Source organism: Homo sapiens, chromosome 22, assembly GCF_000001405.40.
Source record: "Homo sapiens chromosome 22, GRCh38.p14 Primary Assembly".
Taxonomy (NCBI): Eukaryota; Metazoa; Chordata; class Mammalia; order Primates; family Hominidae; genus Homo; species Homo sapiens.
Genome location: NC_000022.11, coordinates 43,635,823 through 43,661,458, shown reverse-complemented (window position 1 = coordinate 43,661,458; position 25,636 = coordinate 43,635,823). Strand labels below are relative to the sequence as shown.

The 25,636-nt window shown below is 43.6% G+C and overlaps 1 protein-coding gene and 1 pseudogene across 23 annotated transcripts in view, besides 3 other annotated features; one reads left to right on the top strand and one right to left on the bottom strand.

Moving 5' to 3' along the window:
• EFCAB6 (EF-hand calcium binding domain 6) overlaps positions 1-25,636 on the top strand; it is a 283,528-nt gene that overhangs the window by 150,847 nt on the left and 107,045 nt on the right. The window contains exon 19 of one of the 23 annotated variants that reach the window (XM_047441465.1): positions 5,070-5,521. The exons of the other annotated variants lie outside the window; for them this stretch is intronic. Coding sequence (XP_047297421.1) covers positions 5,070-5,387 — 318 coding nt within the window. The 3' untranslated portion in view covers positions 5,388-5,521. Of the gene's footprint in view, positions 1-5,069; positions 5,522-25,636 lie in introns of those variants that run through there. 23 annotated transcript variants of the gene reach the window in all.
• Positions 1,990-2,686: an enhancer, noted in NCBI's record as "H3K4me1 hESC enhancer chr22:44054653-44055349 (GRCh37/hg19 assembly coordinates)". NCBI's record gives its function as "activates a minimal SCP1, AML or CMV promoter by ChIP-STARR-seq in naive H9 embryonic stem cells {active_cell/tissue: H9 hESC(naive)}" and the evidence as "EXISTENCE:reporter gene assay evidence [ECO:0000049][PMID:30033119]".
• Positions 9,468-9,968: an enhancer, noted in NCBI's record as "NANOG-H3K4me1 hESC enhancer chr22:44047371-44047871 (GRCh37/hg19 assembly coordinates)". NCBI's record gives its function as "activates a minimal SCP1, AML or CMV promoter by ChIP-STARR-seq in naive H9 embryonic stem cells {active_cell/tissue: H9 hESC(naive)}" and the evidence as "EXISTENCE:reporter gene assay evidence [ECO:0000049][PMID:30033119]".
• YWHAQP2 (YWHAQ pseudogene 2) lies at positions 15,601-16,618 on the bottom strand (annotated as a pseudogene).
• Positions 17,475-17,975: an enhancer, noted in NCBI's record as "H3K4me1 hESC enhancer chr22:44039364-44039864 (GRCh37/hg19 assembly coordinates)". NCBI's record gives its function as "activates a minimal SCP1, AML or CMV promoter by ChIP-STARR-seq in naive H9 embryonic stem cells {active_cell/tissue: H9 hESC(naive)}" and the evidence as "EXISTENCE:reporter gene assay evidence [ECO:0000049][PMID:30033119]".

Below are 25,636 nucleotides of genomic sequence, written 5' to 3'. Positions count from 1 at the left end.
ACTTAACATAACAATGTTCTGAAATTCTCCACCAAAGAAATGGCCCTCTTTGACTTTTGCATTTTATTTATTTATTTATTTAGAGGCAAGATCTCACTTTGTCTCCCAGGCTGGAGTGCAATGGTGCGATCATGCTCACTGCAGCCTCAATCTCCTGGGCTGAAGTGATCCTCCCACTGCAGCCTCCCAAGTAGCTGGAACTAGAGGTCCATGCCACCAGGCCTGAATAATTTTTAAAAATTTTTTTGTAGAGATGAGGTCTCACTATGTTGCCCCGGCCACTCTTGAACTCCTGGGCTCAAGAAATCCTCCTGTGTTGGCTTCCCAAAGTGCTGGGATTACAGATGTGAGCCACCGCGCCTAGCCGACTCTTGTATATTTTTAAATGTGTTATTTAACGTAAATATCAAGTAAGAACTGGTAAAGTTGGCAGAAAACTTTAGGGTGATCTGGAACCTTTATATTCTTTGTCTGAATTGTTTCTCTTCCCCTCTCCCTTTTCTTCATATGCTGAATTAGCAGAAAACCCACAAAACGGTGGTTTAAATAAGAGAGGTGGTTATTTTTGTCTCTGAGAACAGGAGTCCAGATATTGCTGCTACAGGGCCAGTGCAGCATGTCATCAGACACCCTGGTTGCTTTTAGCTTTCCACAGCTCCAGGTACATCTTCATGCATGCAGGCTAGCTGCCAGAGCACCAGCCATTCCAGATGTTTCGGGCACAAAGATGGGGAGGCATGAAGGGCAAGGTGCTTGAGCCAGCCAGGTCTTTCTTTTTTAAAAGTTCTTTCTTAGATACTGCCCCAACAAGTTTCCACTCACATTTTATTGACCAGGACTGTGTTATGTGGCCATACCTATCTATAAGGGGGGTTGGAAAAAATATATATATAATTATAAATGTATAATTTTATAAATATATAAATATGTATACTTATTTTATATCTATATACAAAAATTGGGGGCTGAGTGCATTACTAGTATGGAAAAAACAAGGTTGTGTTCCTATGGGAGGAGGAGGAAATATGTATCAGGTAGGCAAATGTAGCTGTCTGCCACCTTTTCTCTCAGTAGGCATTTTGAGGGTGCCTGTTGTACACTTAGCATGGCACCAGGCACATGGGGAATGGGGATGTAGTGGAAGGTGCAGTTTCTGACACCAGGGGAAATGATTTTGTTGCTTTGGGCCAGTGACCCACGGGGAACATAACATGACAAAATACCCAACGACACATGGGCTAAGATTAGTTAAATTGAGTCATTAGATTAATTGAGCTGTACAATCTATCAGGAATTTGAGGACAGCTTGATCATCCCAGCTTCTTGTAATTGTCTGTGTCTGATTTCTTCATTCTCTGTGAACACATTGGACATTGTTCAGCTCACTGTTGTTCTTAGTACCACCTCTGGAGACCCCACCTCGGCCTCTGGAGACAGACGCAGAGCTGCAGAGCTCATCAGCAAGCTTGCTCAGGGCCCCTGAGACATGCAGTAGGGAGCTGGAGTCTGGAACAGCCCAACCCTGTGTCCCAGATTTCAGCTCCTTTCTCCTGTGCCTGCTCTACGGCAGGGACATCTCACCTGGCTTAGCCCGAGATGTGCTTTCCTTCTTCCTCTGTGCAGAGCACTTCCTCCCTTTGGCTGCTGATGAAACTCACATATCCAGAGAATTTGCCTGCTCTTTACTCACTACCATGAATTCCCCACACATATTCTTTCCCACCTTGGGGACACGACCCTAATCTAAGCAAACTAAATGTTTATGGTAACAGAGTGAATTAGGTTTTTGTTTTTTTTTTGAGATAGGGTATCACCCTGGCACCCTGGCTGGAATGCAGTGGCGTGATCAGGGCTCACTGCAGCCTCGACCTCCCAGGCTCAAGCAGTCCTGCCACCTCACCCTCCTGAGTAGCTGGGACCACGGGCATGCACCACCACACCCGGATAATTTTTACATTATTTTGTAGAGATGAGGTCTCACTATATTGCCCAGGCTGGTCACAAACACCTGGGTTCAAGTGATCCACCCACCTCAGCCTCCGAAAGTGCTGGGATTACAGGTGTGAGCCACCACGCCCATGCCCAGCTGAATTAGATTTTTTTTAAAGTCAAATATTAAGTATTTGTATTCCTCTAGTTGTAAATCTTCTGTTAGGAACATATAGCTCTGGTAAAGGAAACAGATATTCTAAAAGCTCTTTGTTATGTATCACATCAGTTATGTGAGGGGGAAAAACACAAAAGTAAGAGAATAATAAGAGGGACAAACAGTAAGAGTCACAGATACACCCACACAACGCCAGAGACCCAGAGAGAGCGCATAAGAAATCCTCACGGAGTTTTCTCCCGCATGTGCTGGATTAGGGGTACCACAGGCAAGGGCCGCTGACATCATTGTGTTTTGACTGCTGTCGGCACAGCGGGAGTTCCTGAGGCTTGCTGTGAGGCCTAGTCAGATTCAGCACACGGAGCAAAGGTTCTCCATCCTTGTTCAGGGGCTGAGGAAACACCTAGAGAAACCGGTGGCAGCCTCACATTACTGAGGGCAGCTGGTGTGTGTTGGGGGAGGAGTGAATAGGTTTAGTTCTTGAGCTTCCTGTTCCAAACAGCTTCCTAATTCTGTGGATATTTTAAGGGGATGACCAGCTTTGTATTGGAGGTCCCTCACATCTTCAGTTTTGTCAGTCCAAGCCCTACACAACCTTCAGAAGTTGTTACTTATTCCTCCATCCTCCAGCAATGTCCTTCCACCGAGGACACGGCCAGATTCTCTTGGCATCCAGCTGTGCCCCGAAGGGCACGTTCCCTGAGGGCAAAAGCAGCCACAGCCTCAGCTGACCCCTCCTCTAGGGCTCTCCATATGCTCACTTTTGTATTCTCAGGGCCTTTCTCCCTGGGCTTCGATCCCCTGCGTACCACGAAAGTGTGGGGGCTTCCATCCTTGCAGAGTTCGGCTCCTGTCTGCAAAGGGAAACCAGTCATAACTTGGGCCCACCCGGGTCTCCAATTTTGTCACTCCAGGGCCACATAACTCACAGTGCGGGAGTGGCCTCTGCCTGGACCAACCCAATTTCTCTGTTTAATGTCCACCCCCACAATCACCAGCTGTTCACACATCCCTAGGTCGCCTCTGAAAGGTTCCCCCGCCTTGCAGTTTTACTCCCTTTAGTCCTCATTGCTCTCTGATGCCTTTTGTTTTATTTTATTTTATTTTATTTTATATTTTTGAGACAGAGTTTTGCTCCGTCGCCCAGGCTGGAGTGAAGTGGCACGATCTCTACTCACTGCAAACTCCGCCCCCACCCAGGTTCAAGTGATTCTTCTGCCTCAGCCTCCCAAATAGCTGGGATTACAGGTCCCCGCCACCATACCCGGATAATTTTTGTATTTTTAGTAGAGACGGGGTTTCACCATGTTGGCCAGGGTGGTTTCAAACTGCTGACCTCAGGTGATCCACCGGCCTCAGCCTCCCAAAGTGCTGGGATTACAGATGTGAGCCACCTCACCTGGCCTTAGATGCCTTTGAAAAGATTACTTTTGTAATCAAGTGGGCTTTTCTGGTTGTTTTAATTGGGAATGTTTGCTTGCTCCATCCTATCCAGAGGCAGACGTTGAGGTCTGTCAGTTTTGTTAGTCTTTTCAAAATCACAACTTTGTGTTGTCATTTTTTTCTGTTGTATATGCATTTTACATTTCATTAATTTTGCTGTTATATTGATTATTTTCTTCCTTCTACTTAATTTGAATTTAGTTTGCTGTTCTTTTTCTAATTTCTTGAAAATTAGAAATTTAAACCATTGATTTTCAGCCTTTATTTCTCTGGTGTATGAAGTTGTGGCTCTCCATTGCCCTGTAAGTGCTTGAACAGGTTTAGCCACATTAATATAGGTTTTAGTATACTATCTTTTCAATATCATTTCATTCAAAATGTTTTATAATTCTCCTTGTGATTGTTTTCTTTTTCTAATGGTTTATTTTTAAAATGTATTTAATTTCCAAAACAGTTGGGATTTTCTAGTGTTTTTTTTTTAATGATTGATTTTAAAGTTGATTCCATTGTGATCAGAGAATAGATTCTAAAGTCTAAATGACTTCAGTCTATCCTTTGAAATATGCTGAGGTGTGGATTATGACCTAACACGTATAGTCATTTTGGGGGATGGGAGGACAGGGTCTCTCTCTGTAACCCAGACTGGAGGGCAGGGGTGCCATCGCAACTCACTACAGCCTCCACCTCCGGGGCTGAAGCAATCCTCCCACCTCAGCTTCCTGAGTAGCTGGGACTACAGGTGCATACCACCACACCTGGCTAACTTTTGTGGGGTTTTTTTTGTAGAAACAGGGTTTCCCCAAGTTGCACAGGCTGGTCTTGAACTCCTGGGCTCAAAGGATCTGCCTGCCTCAGCCTCCCGAAGTACTGGGATTATAGGTGTGAGCCACCATGCCTGGCCATCAATTTTGAGAAATGTCTCATAAACACTGGAAAAGAACGTGTGTTCTCTGCCACTGGAGGTTCAGTTTCCTACATTCAGTCATATGCGGCTTAATGACAGGGACACATTCTGAGAAACGCATCGTTAGGCGATTTGGTTGTTGTGCAGATATCCTAGAGTGTGGTTACAACAAACCTAGGTGCTATAGCCTCCTACACAGCTAAGCTATGTGGTATAACCTTACAACAAACCTAGGTGCTATAGCCTCCTACACAGCTAAGCTATGTGGTATAACCTTACAACAAACCTAGGTGCTATAGCCTCCTACACACCTAAGCTATGTGGTATAACCTATTGCTTTCAGGCTACAGATCTGTACAGCATGGTATTATACCGCACAGTGTAGGCCATTGTAATGCAATGATAAGTATTTGTGTATCTAAACATAGAAAAGGTACAGAACAAATATGATATAATCTTATGGCATCACTGTGGTATATGGTCCACTGCTGACCAAAATGCCATTATGCGGTCCATAACAGCATGTCAATTGGGTTCATTTTATTAATTGTGTCCTTCAGAACTTCTATATCCTTACCACATTGTTTTTAATTTTCTTTTCTTTTTTTTTTTTAGATGGCGTTTTGCTCTTGTTGCCCAGGCTGGAGTGCAATGGCAGCAATCTTGGCTCACTGCAAATCTCCGCCTCCTGGGTTTAAGCGATTCTCCTGTCTCAGCCTCCCGAGTAGCTGGGATTACAGGCATACACCACCACACCTGGCTAATTTTGTAGTTTTAGTAGAGACGGGGTTTCACCATGTTGGTCAGGGTGGTATCAAACTCCTGACCTCAGGTGATCCACCCGCCTTGGCCTCCCAAAGTGCTGAGATTACATGCGTGAGCCACTGCACCCGGCCCCTTACCACATTTTTGTGGGCTCACTCTATTAAGTGATGAGTGAAGTGTGTTAAGGTCTTCCATCCGATTGTAGGTTTGTCTAGTGAGATCCTTTCTTCATTCTGTTGACTGTTGAATTATTCACTTTGAAGCTAATTACTGGGTACAAATAAATTTAGAATTTATTAAAACTTCCCATGAATTGTTTCCTTTATCATTAGGTCATAACTCTTTTGACAAAGAGGAATGCCATTTGCCTTCAGGCCTATGTCATCTGATAATAATGTAGTCACTTCGGCTTTCTTTTGATGAGTGTTCACATGGCGTATCCTTTTCTATCCTTTTGCTTTCAAACTATCTGGTTACTTATTGAGAGCAAGTCTCTTGTGGGCAGCATATAGCCAATTAAAAAAATACAGTCTGATAGTCTGAGTCTTCCACTTGAAGTATTCGGTCCGTTCTATACATATTTAATTATCTATATAGTTGGCTTTATATCTGTCATTGTAATGTTTTTGTTTTTTTCTATTTGACCCGGCTGTCTCATGTTTCTTCTTCTGTCCTTTGTTGCCTTCTTTTAGGATTATCCAACTTTTTTTTTTTTTTTTGAGACAGGGTCTCGCTCTGTTGTGTTATTTCATTTTCCTGTCTATTAGCTTATGAGTTGCTTTGTTCTTATATTAGTCTCATAGAAGCTGCATGAGAGACTGTGACACGCAGCCTGTGTTACTGTTGTCAAATAGAAATCATTGTTCACCACTTCCCTAACAATGCTAGATTTTTAAAATACTCCCTTTAGCCCCTCTTCTCTTTTGTGTGATAGTTGTTTTGCATTTTAATTTTACATGTATTTTATTTATTTATTTACTTTTGAGACAGAGTCTTGCTCTGTTGCCCAGGCTGGAGTGCAGTGGCATGATCTCAGCTCACTGCAACCTCCGCCTCCCAGGTTTAAGCAATTCTCCTGCCTCAGCCTCCCGAGTAGCTGGGATTACAGGTGCCTGCCACCACGCCCAGCTAATTTTGTATTTTTAGTAGAGATGGGGTTTCACTATGTTGGCCAGGCTGGTCTCGAACTCCTGACCTCAGGTGATCCGCTCGGCTCAGCCTCCCAAAGTGCTAAGATTATAGGTGTGAGCCACAGCGCCTGGCCTCACATGTATTTTAAATCTCACAGGCATTATTATTTCATATGGTAAATAATTTGTCAAATGAATCTACATATTTACTCTTGCTGCTCTTCTTTCCATCTCACATTTTGTGTTTGCACCTGGACTCATTTTTAAATTCTGCCTAAAGACCTCCCTTTTGTACTTTAAATGCAAATGTACTGGCAACACTCTCCAAGTGTCCCTGGTTTCTTCACGTTTCCTTACCTCTTCACTTCATGTCCTTTTCCTGTCTAGGATCGTATCTAGGGTATCACATTCTATTGAGTCTTCATGTCTCCTGAGGCTCCCCTTGGCTGTGAGAGTTTCCTAGACTTGCCTTGTTTTTGATGGCCTTGACAGTTCTGAGGATTACTGATCAGATATTTTGTGGAGCATCCCTCAATTGGGATTTGTGTGATATTTTTCTCATGATTAGACTGGGTAATGTGTTTTTGGAAGGAAGACCGCAGAGGCGGGTGCCCTTCTCATCACATCTTGTCAAGGGCACCTGCTATTAATATGACTCATCACTGTTGGTGCTGAACCTGTCACTGGCTGAAGTGTGTTACCTGACTTTGTCACCTGGCAGAGGTTTCACTACTGTCAAGTTATTCTTTTTCTCCCCTCTTCGTTATTGGAAAGATTTTCGTCTTTGGAAGAAATCCATGGTGCACAGCCCTCAGGGAAGAAGTGGGGAGTTACAATGCTCCAGCTCTTTCAAGCCACAACAACAGGTGTTATTTGGAATCCTTTTTCATGGGATATTTGTCTCTTTTCTTCCACTTACTAACTTACTCAACCATTTATTCATATTAGAATGGACTCATGCCTCATTATCCTTTAAATAGGTATAAGATCCTTAATGATTTTTCCCTTTTCCGCTTCTGATTGGTAATTTTAAAATATTTTCTGTTTGTTTTGTGACTTGTCTAGCTAGAGGTTTATCACTTTTATTGATCTTTTTCTAAAACAAGCTGTGGTTTCATTGATTTCCTCTATTGTTTGCCTATATTCTACTTCACTGATTTTTACTTTTATCTTTATTATTTCTTTATTCCTACTTACTTTACCTACTTTGGCTTTAATTTGCCTGAGTTTGAAACCCAAGGGGATTTTTAGGGGATATTCACCTTGAGAACCTGATGGGACTTCTGGCATGAAAGCCCATGAAAGTGCGCCCTCCCCCTGCCCCTTCCTCCAAAGACAGGGCCACTAGAAATCGCTCCCTCTCAAGCTAATTCACACTCAGCCTCCAGCAATTTGTCAAAATTACCACTTAGGTATCCCTACCAGTTTCTGGTCTCAGTGGCTTCTGCTCCAGGTAAGCTGATCATGGCTGTGATTCTCTGTCTTCATTTCTCTCTCCAGATTTTATGTTTCTCTGATGGTTCTGTGAAACGTCATTAATTTGCAGTTTGTCTTTTTTCTTGTTGTAAGGATGGGAATGATGACTTCCAAGCTGTTTACATGTCAGAGGTGAAAGCAAAAAGTCCACCCTTATTTTAAAAAATATTTTAGCTGGGAAAAACATTCTAGGTTGGCAATCATTTTCTTCTGGCATTTTAAAGATACCGTTCCATGGTCTATGTCTTCTATCAGTTTTGTTGATAAATCAACCATGTATCTTATTGGGTATAATGTGTCTTTTTTTTCTCTAGCAGCTCTTAAGATTTTCCTCTGTCTTTGGATTTCAGCAGTTGTACTAGGATGAGTCTCAATGCAGCTTTCTTTATATGAATCCTGCTGGAGTCTGCAGTTCTTCTTGTATCTGTAGGTTAATGTGTTTTATCAGTTGTGACAAATTCTCAGCCACTGCCTCCTCTCCTGTTGTTATGCGCATTCTCTCCTCCCTCCCTGGACTCCTTTCCAGGATCCCACATGCCTCTCTTCACTCTTTTGTGTAGTTTCTATCTTTTTGCTTTCAGCGCTTCAGCCCCAGTATTTCCTATTGATCTGCCTTCCAGTTTGCTAATCCCATGTTCTGCATTTTTCAATCTGTGGTTAGTTGTACTCACCGAGTTCTTAATTTTAGTATTATATTTTTCAGTAGTGGGATGCTCATTAGGTTATTTTTAACATATTTTGTATCTGTGTTTTTTTCTTCTTTTGTCTCAATATACTCCGGTATTCTCTTAAACATATTCATAGCTTTTTTTTTTCTGGTATTTCCAATATCTGGATCACCTGTAGATCTGTTTCTATTGTCTGTTTTTTTTTCTTTCTGGATATTGGGTTATATGGTTCTGTCTCTTAGAATGCCAGGTAGATTTTTATTGAATATCAAATACTATTTATTAAGAAAATTAAGAGGCTCTGGATAATAGGTCATCCTCTGCTTTGCTAGGCAGATAGAGTGGGGACTCATAACCTTAGTCCAGTAAGGGACTGGTGGATTTGAGGCTGGATTGAATTTTGGCAAGGCTGTTAGCATTTGTTTTTTTTAACTACTCCTGCTCCTAGGGCATAAAACTTCAAAAGCTCTAACTCAGAGCCTGGGTGTATCAGTCCGTTTTCACGCTGCTGATGAAGACATACCTGAGACTGAAAAATTTACAAAAGAAAGAGGCTTAATTGGACTTACAGTTCCACATGGCTGGGGAAGCCTCACAATCATGGTGGAAGGCGAGGAGGAACAAGTCACATCTTATGTAGATGGTGGCAGGCAAAAAATGAGAGAGCTTGTGCAGGAGAATGCCTCCTTTTAAAACCATCAGATCTCATGTGACTTATTCACCATCAAGAGAACAGCACAGGAAAGACTTGCCCCCATGATTCAATTACCTCCCACCAGGTCCCTCCCAAACACATGGGAATTCAAGATGAGATTTGGGTGGGGACACAGCTAAACCATATCATTCTGCCCCTGGCCCCTTCCAAATCTCATGTTCTCACATTTCAAAACCAATCATGCCTTCCCAATAGTCCCCCAAAGTCTTAACTCATTTCAGCATTAACTCAAAAGTCCATAGTCCAAAGTCTCATCCAAGACAAGGCAAGTCCCTTCTGCCTATGAGCCTGTAAAATCAAAAGCAAGTTAGTTGCTTCCTAGATACAATGAGGGTACAGGTGTTGGGTAAATACAGCCATTCAAAATGGGAGAAATTGGCCAAAACAAATGGGCTACAGGCCCCATGCAAGTCTGAAATCCAGTGGGGCAGTCAAATCTTAAAGCTCTAAAATGATCTCCTTTGACTCCATGTCTCACATCCAGGTCACACTGATGTAAGAGGTGGGTTCCCATGGTCTTGGGCAGCTCCGCCCCTGTGGCTTTTCAGGGTACAGCCTCCCTCCCGGCTGCTTTCATGGGCTGACATTGAGTGTCTGCAGCTTTTCCAGGAGCATGGTCCAAGCTTTCAGTGGATCTACCGTTCTGGGGTTTGGAGGATGGTGGCCCTCTTCTCACAGCTCCACTAGGCAGTGCCCCAGTAGGGACTCTGTGTGGGGGCCCTGCCCCCACATTTCCCTTCTGCACTGCCCTAGCAGAGGTTGTCTATGAGAGCCCTGCCCCTGCGGGCAAACTTCTGCTTAGACATCCAGGCGTTTCCGTAGATCTTCTGAAATCTAGGCAGAGGTTCCCAAACCTCAATTCTTGACTTCTGTGCACTCACAGGCTCAACACCATGTGGAAGCTGCCAAGGCTTGAGGCTTGGTCCCTCTGAAGCTATGGCCCAAGCTCTAAATTGGCCCCTTTCAGCCATGGCTGGAGCTGCTGGGATGCAGGGCACCAAGTCCCTAGTCTGCACACAGCTCAGGGACCCTGGGCCCAGCCTATGAAACTGCTTTTTCCTCCTAGACCTCCAGGCCTGTGATGGGAGGGGCTGCTGTGAAGACCTCTGACATGCCCTGGAGACATTTTCACCATTGTCTTGGGGATTAATATTCTCCTCCTCGTTACTTATGCACATTTCTGCCACCAGCTTGAATTTCTGCTCAGAAAATGGGATTTTCTTTTCTATCGCATTGTCAGGCTGCAAATTTTCTGAAGTTTTATACTCTGCTTCCCTCATAAAACTGAATGCTTTTAACATCACCCAAGTCACCTCTTGAATGCTTTGCTGCCTAGAAATTTCTTCTGCCAGATACCCTAAATCATCTCTCTCAAGTTCAAAGTTCCACAAATCTCTAGGGCAGAGGCAAAATGCTGCCAGTCTTTTTGCTAAAATGTAACAAGTCACCTTTGCTCCAGTTCCCAACAAGTGCCTCATCTCCATCTGAGACCCCCTCAGCCTGGACCTTATTGTTCATATTACTATTAGCATTTTTGTCAAAGCCATTCAACAAGTCTCTAGGAATTTCCAAACTTTCCCACATTTTCCTATCTTCTTATGAGCCCTCCAAAGTGTTTCAACCTCTGCCTGTTACCCAGTTCCAAAGTCACTTCCACATTTTCAGGTATCTTTTCAGCAATGCCCCACTCTACTGGTACCAATTTACTGTATTAGATCATTTTCATGCTGCTGATAAAGACATACCCAAGACTGAGCAATTTACAAAAGAAAGAAGTTTAACTGGACTTAGAGTTCCATGTGGCTAGGGAAGCCTCACAATCATGGCAGAAGGCAAGGAGGAGGAAGTCTCATCTTACATGGATGGCGGCAGGCAATAAATGAGAGAGAGCTTGTGCAGGGGAACGCCTCTTTTTAAAACCGTCAGATCTCTTGAGACCTATTCACTATCATGAGAACAGCACGGGAAAGACTTCCTCCCATGATTCAATTACCTCCCACCAGGTGCCTCCCAAAACACATGGGAATTCAAGATGAGATTTGGGTGGGGACACAGCCAAACCATATCACTGGGTTATTCTCTGAGCCCTGCCCCTTCCCCTCCAGGAGGTCCTGAACTCCAGTCCTTATTTCCTCAGGACCACAAGGTGACCAAAAAATCCCTTTTGCTTCTCAGAGGCTTCCTGCCTACTTAGTCTTCTGCCCCACACAGCTTAAGAATTCACCAAATACTTTGGGAGGAAAAGGGGCAGAGTGTTGGGCATGTTTCTTATTTTTCTTTCTCACTAGCAATCCAGTCATTTGGGTCTCTCCTTTTGTTGTCTCCAGTTTCATGAGCTCCTCACATACTTTACTTGCTTCTCTGTCTGCCTGGGCCGTCTGCCCCAGTCCTGAGCCCCTTGCCCTGCTCCCAGATTAGCAAATGGCTCATTCTCTTCCAGCTTCACCCTTCTCTCAGATTTTTGTCCCTCTGGGTCCTGGTTGCCTCCGCAGCTCTCTTATGCTTCAAACAGGTGTTTTGATGCATTTTTTCTGTCTTTTTCATTTGTTCTCAGTGGAAGCTTAAATCTGCAAGATATTCCAACAAGCAGAACATTAGCCATTCTCTTTTTGTTGGGCATTCATTTCTTTTATTTTTAATATTTTTTCCTCTTTAAACAATCTTTCTTTATGTGTCCTTACATACTGATGCTTTCATTTGTATGGAATGGATGCCAGGAGTAAGACTCTTGGTTGAAGATTTTTAAAAACATTTTTAAACATGTTATCTATTTGCTTTTTTAAAAATACTGTAATGTTTCACATTTCTAGTGGCTGTGTATGACAGTATCTTTTTCTCTGGACCTTTATAAGCAATAGGCATTATAGCTTTTTAAATTTTTGCTGGTCTTATGGTTTTAAAATGGTAACTCATTTAAACTTTAATTTGCATTTATTTTCCTGACTAGTGAATTTATTATTATTATTTGCCACTGCGATTTGTTCTTCTTTGAGTTGCCTATTTACATCCTTTGCCCTCTTGTCAATTTATAAAACCTATGTGCTTATGATGGACATCATTATTTATCTCTGCTCTCACAAGAATCCCAGGACTCCCAGTTCCTCCCTCACCTTCTGGGTTCTCAGCCCGGGGACTTTTTTCCCCCTCGGGCTCTGTATCCCTCTTAATCTGACCCTGTCTTCTATTCTCCCAGCTCCCAAAGCTCTTCTCTGGGCATTGGCTCGTTTGCACCAACTCAAGCCTGGTTCTTTCCTGAGGACACTCTTTCCCCTGTAGTCACAAGTCACTCCTCACTAATGTGTAAGCTTGGCGGGGATGGGGAGCTTTGTCTTTCTCATCCTCTGCCCTATCTCTAGCATCTAAATCAGTGCCTAGCACATCGTAAGTGCTCAATAAGTATTTTTCAAATGCATGAATCAATTTTATAAAGTATCATGGCATTATGGCTAAAAATGTTGACTCTGGAGCTAGGCTGCCAGGGCTCAAATCTCAGCTCTGATTCTTCTTCTTCGTTATTATTATTATTTACAATAATTTCAACATTTTAGATTCAAGGAATACATGTGCTGGTTTGTTACGTGGGTATTTTGCAGAATGCTGAGGTTTGGGGCATGAATAATCCCGCCACCCAGGTAGTGAGCATAGTACCCAACAGGTGGTTTTTCAGCCCACACCCCACTTTCTCCCTCCCCACTCTAGTAGTCCCCAGTATCTGTTATTCTCATCATTGTGTCTGTGTACTCAATGCTTAGCTCCCACTTATCAGTGAGAACATGCAGTATTTGGTTTTCTGTTCCTGTATAAATTCTCTTAGGATAATGGCCTCCAGCTGCATCCATGTTGTGCAAAGGACATGATTTCAGTCTTTTTTTATGGCAGTGTAGTATTCCACGGTGTGCATGTACCACATTTTCTTAATCCAGTCCACCATTGATGGGCACCTAGGTTGATTCCACACCTTTGCTATTGTGAATAGCTCAGCTCTGCTTCTTAATAACTGTGTGCCTGTGTGTGGGCACACCCCTCAGCCTCAGCTTCCTTTTTCCTAAAATGGAGATAATAGTAGTAGCTACATCATTGGATTGTTAGAAGGATTAAATGAGGATATATATCATATACATATGATATATATTTATGTTTGTTAATATATATTTATTACAACATATATTTATTACAACAGCCTTAGGAAACTAATAGTTTCCTAATAGGGTTAGGGTTAGGAAACTAATAGTTTCCTAGGGCAGTTATAACAAATTACCATACCCTGGGTAGCTTAAAACAATAAAAATGTATTTTTTCACAGTTCTCGAAGCCAGGAGTTTGGAATCAAGGTGTCAGCAGAGCCATGCTCTCATCTGCTGGCTCTGGGAGCACGCTGCATTGTTTCTCCCAGCTCCCAATGGCTGCCTGCCATCCGGCATCCCTCGGCCTGTAGCTGCGTTGCTCCAACCTCTGCCTCTGGCTCCACATGGCCTCTTTGGTCTCTTTCTTCTTTGTCTGCATGTCTTCACATCATGTTCTCCTCTCTGTGTGCCTCTGTCCAAATTTCTCTCTTGTTCTAAGGACACCAGTCATTGGGTGAGGTACTACTCTCATCCAGCACGACTTCATCTTAACTTGATTCCAACTGAAAAGACCCCAGCTCCATTAAAGGTTACATTCACTGGAACCAGGATTGAGACCTCATTATACCTTTTGGGGTACACAATTCAACCGACAACAATGTATAACCCTTAAAATAGGGCCTGGCACCTGAGGGCTGGGACTTGGCTGTTTTGTTCACTATTGTATTCCCAGTTCCTGGATAGAACCTGTCAGAGATGCTCAAAACATCTGTAGAATTAATTAATAATTTATCCGCTCTTTGTCTTCTTCAATACAAATATATTTTCCAAATATATCATGTCTTTTTGTTTTGTTATAGTTCCATATTTTGCCATTACAATGTTTTCAGTTTTTATACAACCAAATATTTCTATTGTCCTTTTTTTTCCCTAAATAAATTCTAGGTTTGTAGCCATGGTTAATAGGTGTTATTCCTTCATCCCCCACCCCCACCCCCACCTCAGTCTCCTAGACTTTCTTACAAGAATTTTATTTGTTTTTGTATAGAATGTTTTTAGAGCAGCTTTAGGTTTATAGCAAGATTTAGTGGAAACTACAAAGTTCCCGTATACCCCTGTCCCCACGTGCACAGCCTCCCCCACTAACAACACCTCTCAGCAGAATGCTACATTTGTTACAGTCTATGAACATGCATTGAAATTATTACAATTTCTTGCTTATAGAACAAGTGAAATGTCTAGGTCAAAAGAATATGCACAGTTAAATGTTTAATGCATATTGCCATATTACATTTCCAACGATTCTATCAAATTCATTCCTACCACAAGTGTTTGGTAGTTACTAATTTCCAAATGTTTGCCAACTTTGGGTAGAATAAAAAAGTTTAATATATGCTAACATATCAGTCAGAATTATAGTCATTACTTTAATTTGCATTTCTTTGATTTTAGTTAGCCTGAACTTCTCTTTCCCATTGTTTTATCAGAGAATTTATTTTTATTTTTAAATGTAGATGCTTAATCCATGTGGAATTAATTTTTATACTCGATGTAAGATGGGGCTCTTCTTCTATATTTCCTTACTGAATTAGACTATTACCTTTGTCATTTATGACATTCTCATTATGCTAGGGTCTACATCCGAAAACTTTCATCCCACTGATTTATACATCTATTTCTATATAAATGCAATATGGCTCTTTAATTTAGTAAAACAGGTCTTTTCTCAGTGTTCTTCCTTTTTGTATTTTCTTGGCTATTCTCAGGCCAGGTTTATATGTTACCATATAGACTTTAAAATCATTTTATTCAATTACCCCTCAGATGCATTACTGGGATCATAACTGGACTTACATTACATTTATATGTTGGAAATGTATCTGCTCTTGAAATCAGCAAGAGAGAACATAAAGGCGTGCAGAGGCTGAGTGACAGAGAGCCCTGGGATTCTGCAGGGGAAGTGGCTGCTTAGCATCGGCTTTTCCTGTTGCGCCCATTTGTCCTGAGCTTTGAGTTTCTTCCCACTTACCCTTTGAACGACAGATTTGATCTCCAGGACTTGAGCACAGTCTCCTCTGAAGTTGAAGTAGGCACGACTTGTCTGCTTTTATCTGCCATGTTCAAAATCTGTCATTGAAGTACTAAATTCACTGCCCGCAGAACACGCTGAGATTTTACATGTGTATGTAGACCCAAGCTGGGTTCTGGATCTTTGCTTCTAAAATGGACATGTCTGGTCAATGCATTAGTTATGCCTGGAATTCCCCTTGACATTGAAAGGTGGTCATGTCACCTCATCTTTCAGTCTCAGTTTTTGTTTTTGTTTTTTTTTTTAGTTTTAAAATGTCCACTTTATTCCATATAACACTTAACCAGATATCATTTACATCTGAGGAAGAGATGGCCCATGAGACTGATCTATAGTAAAACACTCTAAGAAATGCAGTCCAATTTTATACATTTCCAGGCATCCCTAGACAAGTGTGTCACAATGCACAATGCGGAAATATACGTATCACTACTACATTTTACATAAAAGGGAAGTATCAATAAACTTTAGAAAGTAGTAAATTCACCTGTCCCTTAAAATATGGGTATGCAATTGTTACAAAGCCATAGTAAATGGTTTATAAAATGTACTTTTATTTTATGTTACTCTGCTGTTACATAGGGCATAACATTTTCACAAGGCTTTTTTGGGACTACAGTCAATGATTAGCAACACACAGTAGTGGTCCAACTCTCTAAATAACAATCACTAGACAAACTGGACACCCTCTCACATGTGCACAAATCTGCATGGAAAAGTACTAAAGTTTTAGACTTGGACTTGCGTACTTTTTTTCCTCTTTCTAGTGTATTAAGAAATGACATGCACTTTAATTTGCCAAAAGCAATGCTTGTATTCTGGCAGCAACATGCTACTTCTATCACATAGTAAAGTGAATACCAGAACTACAAAGGCAGGAGGTGTAAGTGAATTTTTATTGGGAAGGGAGGTTGGCAACTTAAACAGCAGCAAATAAAGAGTGAATAAGGAAACTCCCTGTTGCCACAGATACACAAGACCTCCGTATGTGATACAGGAGCCATTTCAATTTGTGACCCCTAGACAGAGATGGCAAGTGCTTTTCCATTCAATCTAATACTTCCGGATTCCTACTAAAAAGGAATACATTAAGAGCATGGAAAAGTTGCTTATTGAAAGGAAACCCCCGAAGAGTAAGGGAGGGAATGTAGAAATTAAGAAGTTATGTGGAACACTCTTTAAATTGCAATTAACTACATTTTCTTATTTTCACAGTAATACAAAACACAGTCACTTGCAGAACTGGTTCAGATTACTCAGTCTCAGTTTTTGAAGCTTGCACTTAGGTTCAGCATTTTGTCATTCTGTGCCATCTAAACACAATTCTAGTCTTTTAGTTTTTATGGGAATAATATATTTAAGAAACAAAAACCAAACCAGCTTATCATTGTCATCATTTTCATTGTCATGATCATGCCAGCAGCAAAGAAGAAAAGAAAACATGAACATTTTTCGACTTTGTGATTGCTATTAGCAAACCATCAGTCTGTGCTGAAGGCCTAGAGTCAGGCACTAAGTAAGGTTGGAGGAAGGATTGTTTTTGGAAGTGTGGTGCAGTCCCATCCGCTATGGATCAAATAGAATTAATGTGGGGATCAGAGAGAAGATTTAGCCTAGGAACTAGAAATGTCTGGATTTGTGGGAGTGATTTAAATTGTGATCTAATGGTCATAGCATTTTACCAAAGTAAACAGAATCCCAGAGGTTCAGAGCTCGAAAGGGCTGCAGAGCTCATCTTAACCACTGTTACCTCCTCCCTGCTTGTTCCCCATCGTGAACCCCTCAGTGGATGGCGTGTGCTCCCCTGACCACTAATATGTGGCTTTCCTTGACCTGGAACGTGCTAAGCCTGTGCACCCGTCATCTCCTGCTCAAAGAGCTTGCCTAGGGCAGCTCTGTCCCTTCCGTTTGGTCACGAGAGTGAATCTACATAAAGCAGGTCCAAATCCAACCTGCATTTGGGAGCCAAGCCCAGTCAACCCGCACGCAGCCACGCCTGGAATCCCAGCAATTTGGGAGGCCGAGGCAGGTGGATCACCTGAGGTCAGGAGTTGGAGACCAGCCGGGCCAACATGGTGAAACCCCGTCTCTACTAAAAATACAAAAATTTGCCAGGCGTCATGGTGGGCGCCTGTAGTCCCAGCTACTCAGGAGGCTGAGGCAGGAGAATGGTGTGAACCCGGGAGGCAGAGCTTGCAGTGAGCCGAGATCACGCTACTGCGCTCCAGCCTGGGTGACAGAGCGAGACTCTGTCTCAAAAAAAAAAAAAGAACAAATGCTTATTTTGTTGTAAGCCACTGAATTTCAGCTTGTTTGTTGTGTAGTTGCTGACTCATAGACACCCTATCCCTGCTGTAGACCTGTTCCAAACATACGGCACACAACAGTTGGTGAAGAAACAAACCTAGTGTGTCCTCTGTGGACGGTGCCAGGCTGATCAACTGATAGGGAGCAACGCGTCTCCCAGGGTGAGGAGCCTGTGCAAAAGGAAGCAGCATCATGTGCTGTTTGTACAGCCAGAGCCTCAGCTGCACTTCAGCCTTGGCTGCCAGAGCTGGGTTGCAGTCATTGGCTCCCAGGCTTCCCTGGGCAGCAGCACACCCAGCAGTCACCTGAGTGGCTCCTTATTGCTCACACGTGACCGTGAGGCAGGCTCTTGCATCTCTGGGCTTTGGGTTTCTCATCAGTAAAGGACAAAGTTGAACCTGATACTCTGTTATTTCTTCCAGTGCTGAGTCTATGAGACAATGTTGTCCCGTGGAGTCCGACCAACTCGTGTTCAAATCTTTGCTCTACTTCTTACCACTTGTGTCTTCCTAGAAAACAGTTGGCTTATTTTGCCTTTTTAAACTTTGATCTCCTCATTTAGAACATGGAGTTGGTCATACTTCTGTTGAGGCATTGTTGCAAGGTTTAAATGAGGGATGGAAGTCATTCAGTCCTGGGGCGGCCCCTGGTAGCTCCTCAATCAAATGCTCTTTCGTGGCGATCCTTGGGAAGCTTCCGTTCCTGTCTGGAGCCAGAAGGAGGGTTTGTGGCTCAGAAGCCAGTTCTGGCTCTTGACACTATGCTGTTCCTGGTGGGCTCTGTGCTTGAGAAGTGTACCTGTAATCAGGCACACCGTGGCTGTCACTGTTTTCCTGCAAGGGGCTTCTTATCTGAGATGCCCTGCGCCCTGTGACCATTCATGGTGTTCTTCACAGTATTCCTGTTGGTTAAGACTTGAAAAGGAAATCCCATTATTTATCTGCACTCACAGCTGGCAACAGCATCCTGAGCCCAATATCCTGCGGCCTGTGCACATGACCATGGCGTCTTGATTGTCACCCCAGTTTGCATCAGCTTTGAAGATTCTGTTTTGCTGGGGCCACATGGACAGTCAGACGTGTGTCTGATGTTGCTAGGAAGCATTTGCCAAAAGAGTTTGAATTTTCCGTTCAAGTACAAATTAGACCTATTCTGAAAATTTCATATTATTTTCTAGCCATAGTACTCTTCTCCCTAGTACCTGCTTTGCATGTGATCAGATAACCTTGATGACTGGAACTCTCAGATCATGCCTGCATTCTGGATGACGCAGCTCTGTGGTGGCAGGTGGTGTATAGGTGGGGGAGGAGCTGGAAGATGAGGGATCCCTGGTATGGGGGAGGTGGGGAGACAGAGCATGTCTGAAATTCTAGACAAGGCAGACTTTTTTTTTTTGGTACCTGTTTCATGTTGTCTGTGAATGGGTATGTAAAGAAATAAAAATAATATTACTTATTAAAAATAAAACCCATAACTCTCTTTAGTTTTATCACAAAAGAATTTAGGCTACAGGTTTCCAGGCACGGAGGGATGGCTAAAAAGCCAATCTCAGCCGGGAATGGTGGCTCATGCCTGTAATCCCAGCACTTTGGGAGGGCGAGGCGGGTGGATAACCTGCGGTCGGGAGTTTGAGACCAGCCTGACCAACATGGAGAAACTCCATCTCTACTAAAAATATAAAATTAGCCGGGTGTGGTGTCGCATGCCTGTAATCCCAGCTACTCAGGAGGCTTGAGGCAGGAGAATCACTTGAACCCAAGAGGCGGAGGTTGTGGTGAGCCAAGATTGTGCCATTGCACTTCAGACTGGGCAATAAGAGTGAAACTCCATCTCAAAAAAAAAGCCAGTCTCCAAATTGTATGCTCCTGAATCTCCTCAGGGTGCATCCTTTAAATCTCTGGCTTAAATATAAACAGGAATCTCTCCCTTGGCTCCCCTTAACTGATATTTTCAGAAGAGAACTTTGCTAAGTGTAGTATTAAGAGAAGACTGATGAGGATCCCACGGCTGGTCCAGCACACACACTGAGATACCCACACTGAAGTCTGCACCACCCGTTGAGGAGCTGGCACCTCACAGTCCCTGTCCTGTCTCCCTTTCCTCCTGGATCCTTTTGTGTGTCTCACAAGGAAAGTATCCTTTTATTGGCCTCATAGTATTTTTTTTTTTTTTTTGAGATGGAGTTTTGCTTTTGTCTCCCAGGCTGGAGTGTAAAGGCGCAATGTCAGCTCACTGCAACCTCTGCCTCCCAGGTTCAAGCGATCCTCCTGCCTCAGCCTCCCAAGTAGCTGGGATTGCAGGTGCCTGCCACCATGCCCAGCTAATTTATGTATTTTCAGTAGAGACAGGGTTTCACCATGTTGGCCAGACTGGTCTTGAACTCCTGACCTCAGGCAATCCACCCGCCTCAGCCTCCCAAAGTGCTGGGATTACAGGTGTGAGCCGCTGTGCCTGGTCCACAGTATTCTTAATATTCCAACTCCTTCCTCGCCATAGCTGAATGACCACTTGGTGCTCATATCTGCATAGGCATGGGCTTTCTTAGTCAGACTCAGGATTCAACCAGACACAATAGCAAGAGCCTGATGAGTGTTGCCAGCTGTTCCGTATGTTGACATCCCATGCTCTTCTTCTTATTCAACTTTTAGTGAACACCTACTATGTGCTCTTGGCATATAGAAGTGAAAAAGAAGTGTTGGTAATTCTCTACACAATAGCAATTTGTTGAGTGCCTGCCATGTGTTAGGTTCTGTGCGAGGGACTATCTATGGAAGTAAACAGAAGGGGTATGGAAGCTTAAGACTTTTTTTCTGGTCACCCAGGCTGGGGAGGACCGAGAAGGCTCTCCCTGAGCTGTTGATACCTGTATCTTAAGGATGTGCTTGCTGTAGCACCCAGAAAGTATTCCTGGGAGTTTTGCTTCCAGTTTGGCTATGTAAGCTTCTACTGGACCAGCCTTCCCAGAGATACCAAGTATAAACACTGGACAATGTTAAGTAAGTCAATAAATCAGTAATTTATTAAATAACCAAATGCCTGAAGGTCCTGGAAAATGAAACTAGACTAGGCAAGAAGATTCAGGAGGGTGTCAACTCCTGAAGATGGGAATAGCAAGAGTGAGTTCCCATTTTCTACAGCTTTTTACTTGAGGAAACTAATAGCCTTTCTGGCTTGAAGAACCAGAGGGAAGAGGTCTGGGTAACTAATGCTACCTGAAAGTAAAGATGGGGATGGAGAAAGGGGGCATTTTGAAAAGGAGAGATCCAGAGAGTAGATGCTCCAGCTTTTGTGTATAGATTCTTCCTCAATCTCTGGCTGACTCTAAACCACATATGAGCAGAACAGATTGCAAGTAACCTAGCTAAGGATACAAGAACTGAACTGAAATTTAAACTGCAGCCCAACACACTCAAACTTTTTCAGTTTGAGTCCAACCAAGCCTACTGCCTGCTCGAACACATGAACCAAATATATAGATTTATATAAAATACATAGATATAAAGATTTATAACATATGTAGACATAAAACATGTCACTCTTTGGAGAACTACAACAGAATCCAGAGGCCCCACACCATAACCTCCACAATGTCCAGGATATAACCCCAAATTATTCAACATTTGGAGAAACAGAAAAAATGTGATCTTTCTTAAGAGACTCTAAGATGAACAGATGTTAGAATTAACACTCAAAGACTTTAAAGTAACCATTATAAAAATGCTCAGTGATACAAAGGAAAATATACTCATAATGAATGAAAATATATGAAATCTCAGCAGAGAAATAGAAATTATAAGAAGAACCATATGGAAATTCTAGAACTGAAAAATAAGATATCTGAAACAAAAAATTCACCACATAGCTCAACCACAGAATGAAGATGACAGAAGTCAATGAGCCCGAGGATAGATTAATAGTTATACAAACTGAAGAGGAGAGAGAAAAATTTTTTAAAAGAGAGAGAAAGAGAGAATAGTGTCTCACAATCATATGAACAATATCAAAAGGTCTAACATAGGTGTAATTGGAATCACAAAAGGAAAAAAGACAGGGACTAGGGAAGAGGATATATGTGAAGAAATAATGGCTAAAATTTCCCAATTTTGGTGAAAAGCCCTAATATAGATTCCAGAAGCTCAGAAAACCCCAAGTAGGATATTACAAAGAAAATAACAGACAAACTGCTGAAAAGCAACATCAAAGAGAGAAATCTTAAAAGCAGCATGAGAAAAATGACACATTACAAACAGGGAAACAACATTTTAAATTACCATTGGCCTCACACCAGAAACAATGGAGGAGGTGAGAAGATAGTGGAACAGTAACATATGGAAAGGAAAAAGGAAAAAAGCAAAAGCAAAACCAAACGTAAACCTCCCAACCCAGAATTTTATACCCAGCCAAAGTCTCCTTCAAGAATGAAGGTGATGATTTCAAACTGAACAAAACAAGAGCTAAGATAATTCATTGCAAGTGGATCTTCGCTACAAGCAAGGCTAAAAGAAGTTCTCAGGATGAAGGAATTTGATACTAGGAAGACTTGGCTGTCCATGACAGAACAAAGAACATTAGAAATGGTAAATTGCTGATTAAATATAGAAGGCTGTTATTTTTCTTCATTTAAAAACCGCATAGGAATATTCAAAACAAAAACCATGGCATTGTCTTGTGGGATTTATAACATATTTAGATGTGAAACAAATGTCAACTATACCAGAACAGGGTGCAGGACAACCCCAGCACTTTGGGAGGCCGAGGTGGGCGGATCACCTGAGGTCAGGAGTTCGAGACCAGCCTGATCAACATGGAGAAACCCCATCTCTACTAAAAATATAAAATTAGCCGGGCATGGTGGCACATGTCTGTAATCCCAGCTACTCGGGAGGCTGAGGCAGGAGAATAGCTTGAACCCGGGAGGCAGAGGTTGCGGTGAGCCGAGATCGCACCATTGCACTCCAGCCTGGGCAACAAGAGCGAAACTCCGTCTCAAAAAAAAAAAAAGAACAGGGTGCAGGAGACCTCTATAAGGTTGCAAGGTTTCTACATTCTATGTAAAGTGGCATAATATTAAGTCTAAATAGACTGTGAAAAGTTCAGAATGTATAGTGTAATCACATAGAAACCACCAAAAAAGTGCTGCAAAGAGACATAGCAAACAAGTGTCACACACACAAACTGGTGGCTGCTTCTCTCACAGGATGTTGTGCAGGGGTTGCGTTTAGAAAGGCTGAGTCCTCACTTTCATCATTGGGCTCGCTCTCAGGGCGTCTTCCTTCACAGAGAGGGCCCAGCAACGGTTCCCTGAAATGTTGTGACCTCCTGGGGAAGAGTCGGTCTACAATCTAAGGGATGCCCCAGGGATGGCCGGAGTGACGACTATCTGGTAAATCAACACATGCCCGACCATAGTTTGTCAGTCTTTGAGCAACTTTCTTAGGGGAATGCCTCCTAGAAAAGACCAAAGGAAATGACTTGAATGGTTAAACATTTAAATCTGTTTTATAAACTTTGCTGGTGAGCCTTCCTTCTTATTGTATGTCGCCTCCAAGGGTCATGATAAATCTGGTTGATTTGCTGCTGTGTTCATCTTAGAAATGAAAGTGGTGCAAGGGGAGCCTCGGAAGAGGCATCAGAGGCCTTTGCATCTGTGGCCTGCCCTGAGCCTCTTCTGGGAATGGCACTTGCAGCGTTTGTGTTCTCTGCGGTGCTCCGGTGCTCCGTGCCCCTGGGGATTACGCTCCTGCGACCGCTGGACAGGCTGCTGAGGGCCTGGGGGATAGTACGAATCTCCCTGGCACCTCACAGCCCTCTAGGCTGGGGAACATTTGCCTGCAGACATTTCCTTACGATCCAGTACATATGGTTTTGTGAAAGAACTGAGCAAGAAGAGTTTGCCATGAATAATTCATGTGCAATTGTTTTCAAAATATAAAGTTTTTTTCAAAGCAAGCAACCAGAGGCTCACCGCGGCTGTGTGTGCTTCTGCGGGGGCCACGGCTTTCTACCTGAACACCAGTGCCATCCTGTGCTGGGACAGGCTCCTCTGCAGAGCTGGGCCGGGGACCATGTGCAGATGGCACAGAACTCTCAGCATTCCCAATCACGTGCTTCCTGCCGAATTCCACAGGCAGGCCCTGGGGATAGCCTTGTACTCCTGCGTTGCCACCCGCCTCGGTCTCCTTGGGCAGCACTGCAACACTTCCATCCCTTCCCTTTTTTCTCACCTGCTGGCCCGGCACTAGCCACACACAGCCTGTTTACTGTTAACCTCCACACGCAGGAAGCCAAGGCCAGGCCTGACTGATTGGACCAGCGTAGATACAGCGCACACTTTCACAATCAGACTGTCTGTTATTTACATAGACAGTGAAAGGGAGAATAAGCCACAGGGGCCAGCTCCCTGGTCCTCTTCCCGAATACCAAAAAGGATGACACCAAAACAAAGGAAGCTGATGACTGCGCCACAAGGTGTGGAGTGCCCTATTGCCAAGAACCACGTCCAGACTGCAGCCAAGAGGCTTCCCTTCTACAGCTCTAGTGTGAGGGGCCGGGCAGAAAGCCCCTCACCCTATCAAAACCTGGAGGCAGGAGAAACCGTCTCCTGACAGCCTTTCTGGGGAGATAGGGAGGCAGGTGGGAGGTGGGCTCAGGGCAGCTCCTTAGAGGCCTCCCATCCTTTCAGGCTCCACAAAGGCTCAGACTGGATTTTGCCTATGTGGCCTCTTTGGATACAGGGAAGACACCAGGGCTCCATGGCAGAGCTGCTTGCCGCTCCCCCTGGGCCATTTCCTGTCCATTTTCATCTCCTCTCTTCTTTGTCCAGGCCCCTGTGACCTTACTCCAAAAGTAGATCTCATCACAGTGGTTAATAAGAAGAATGAGGTTTGAGGACGGGCGTGGTGGCTCATGTCTCAGCATTTTGGGAGGCTGAGGCAGGCGGATCACGAGGTCAGGAGATCGAGACCATCCTGGCTAACATGGTGAAACCCCGTCTCTACTAAAAATACAAAAAATTAGCTGGGCGTGGTGGCAGGTGCCTGTAGTCCCAGCTACTCGGGAGGCTGAGGCAGGAGAATCACTTGAGCCCGGGAGGCAGAGGTTACAGTGCACCTAGGTAGCACCGTTGCACTCCAGCCTGGGTGACAGAGTGAGACTCTGTCTCAAAAAAAAAAAAAAAAAAAGAAAAGAACTGGGTTTGAACCCCAGGTCTGCCACTTTCTATTCATATGTCTAAGAAAAGTGACCCAAACTCCCTAAGACTCAGTTTGCACAGCATTAAAATGAGGTTAGAAAGAGTGCCTTTCTTGAGGCTTCTGCTGAGGATTAAATGAGATCCGTGTGGAGCCTGTACAGAGCCCCACACAGTGCCTGGCACACACGGGCACTAAGGGGTGCTGCGCAGTGACCATGATGAGGGCGACACTGCAGCACGGCCTTACCTGGTCCCTCCGTTCCCTCCCCAGCCGCCTCTTCCGCTGAATGCAGTGAGCACCGCTGCACTGCTCCACCACCTGGAACTTACTCTGGCTTCTGGTGACATCTGTTGACTTTGTTGATGATAACCTGTGTATTCCTCACCCCTCAACACACTTTCTTCACAACCCATCGGCAAACCCAGTTCTCCTAGAAAGCCTTCCGTCCCCTGTTCCGGGTGGGATTGGTCATCCTGGACGTCTTTGGCCCCTTGGCCCATAGATGCATTTAGAACTGTGATTCTGTGTTCTTTTCTGAAGGAAAACCCATGTTTTCCCATTTGGATTGTGAATACTCTGAGATCAGCAGAGGTGGTGCCTTCCATCTGCCTCTATCCACCCAGCATCCCTTCTGTGGGTGGCTCACATCCACGCAGGCAGCTCTGTCTGGGTTTTTGGCCAAAGGGCATCATCTTTTCTGTAATTCCTAGGGAGATGTCATCGAGACGATTCCACTTCAGTATTTGCAAGGCAGGGAAGAGTGTTTTCTTGGGTG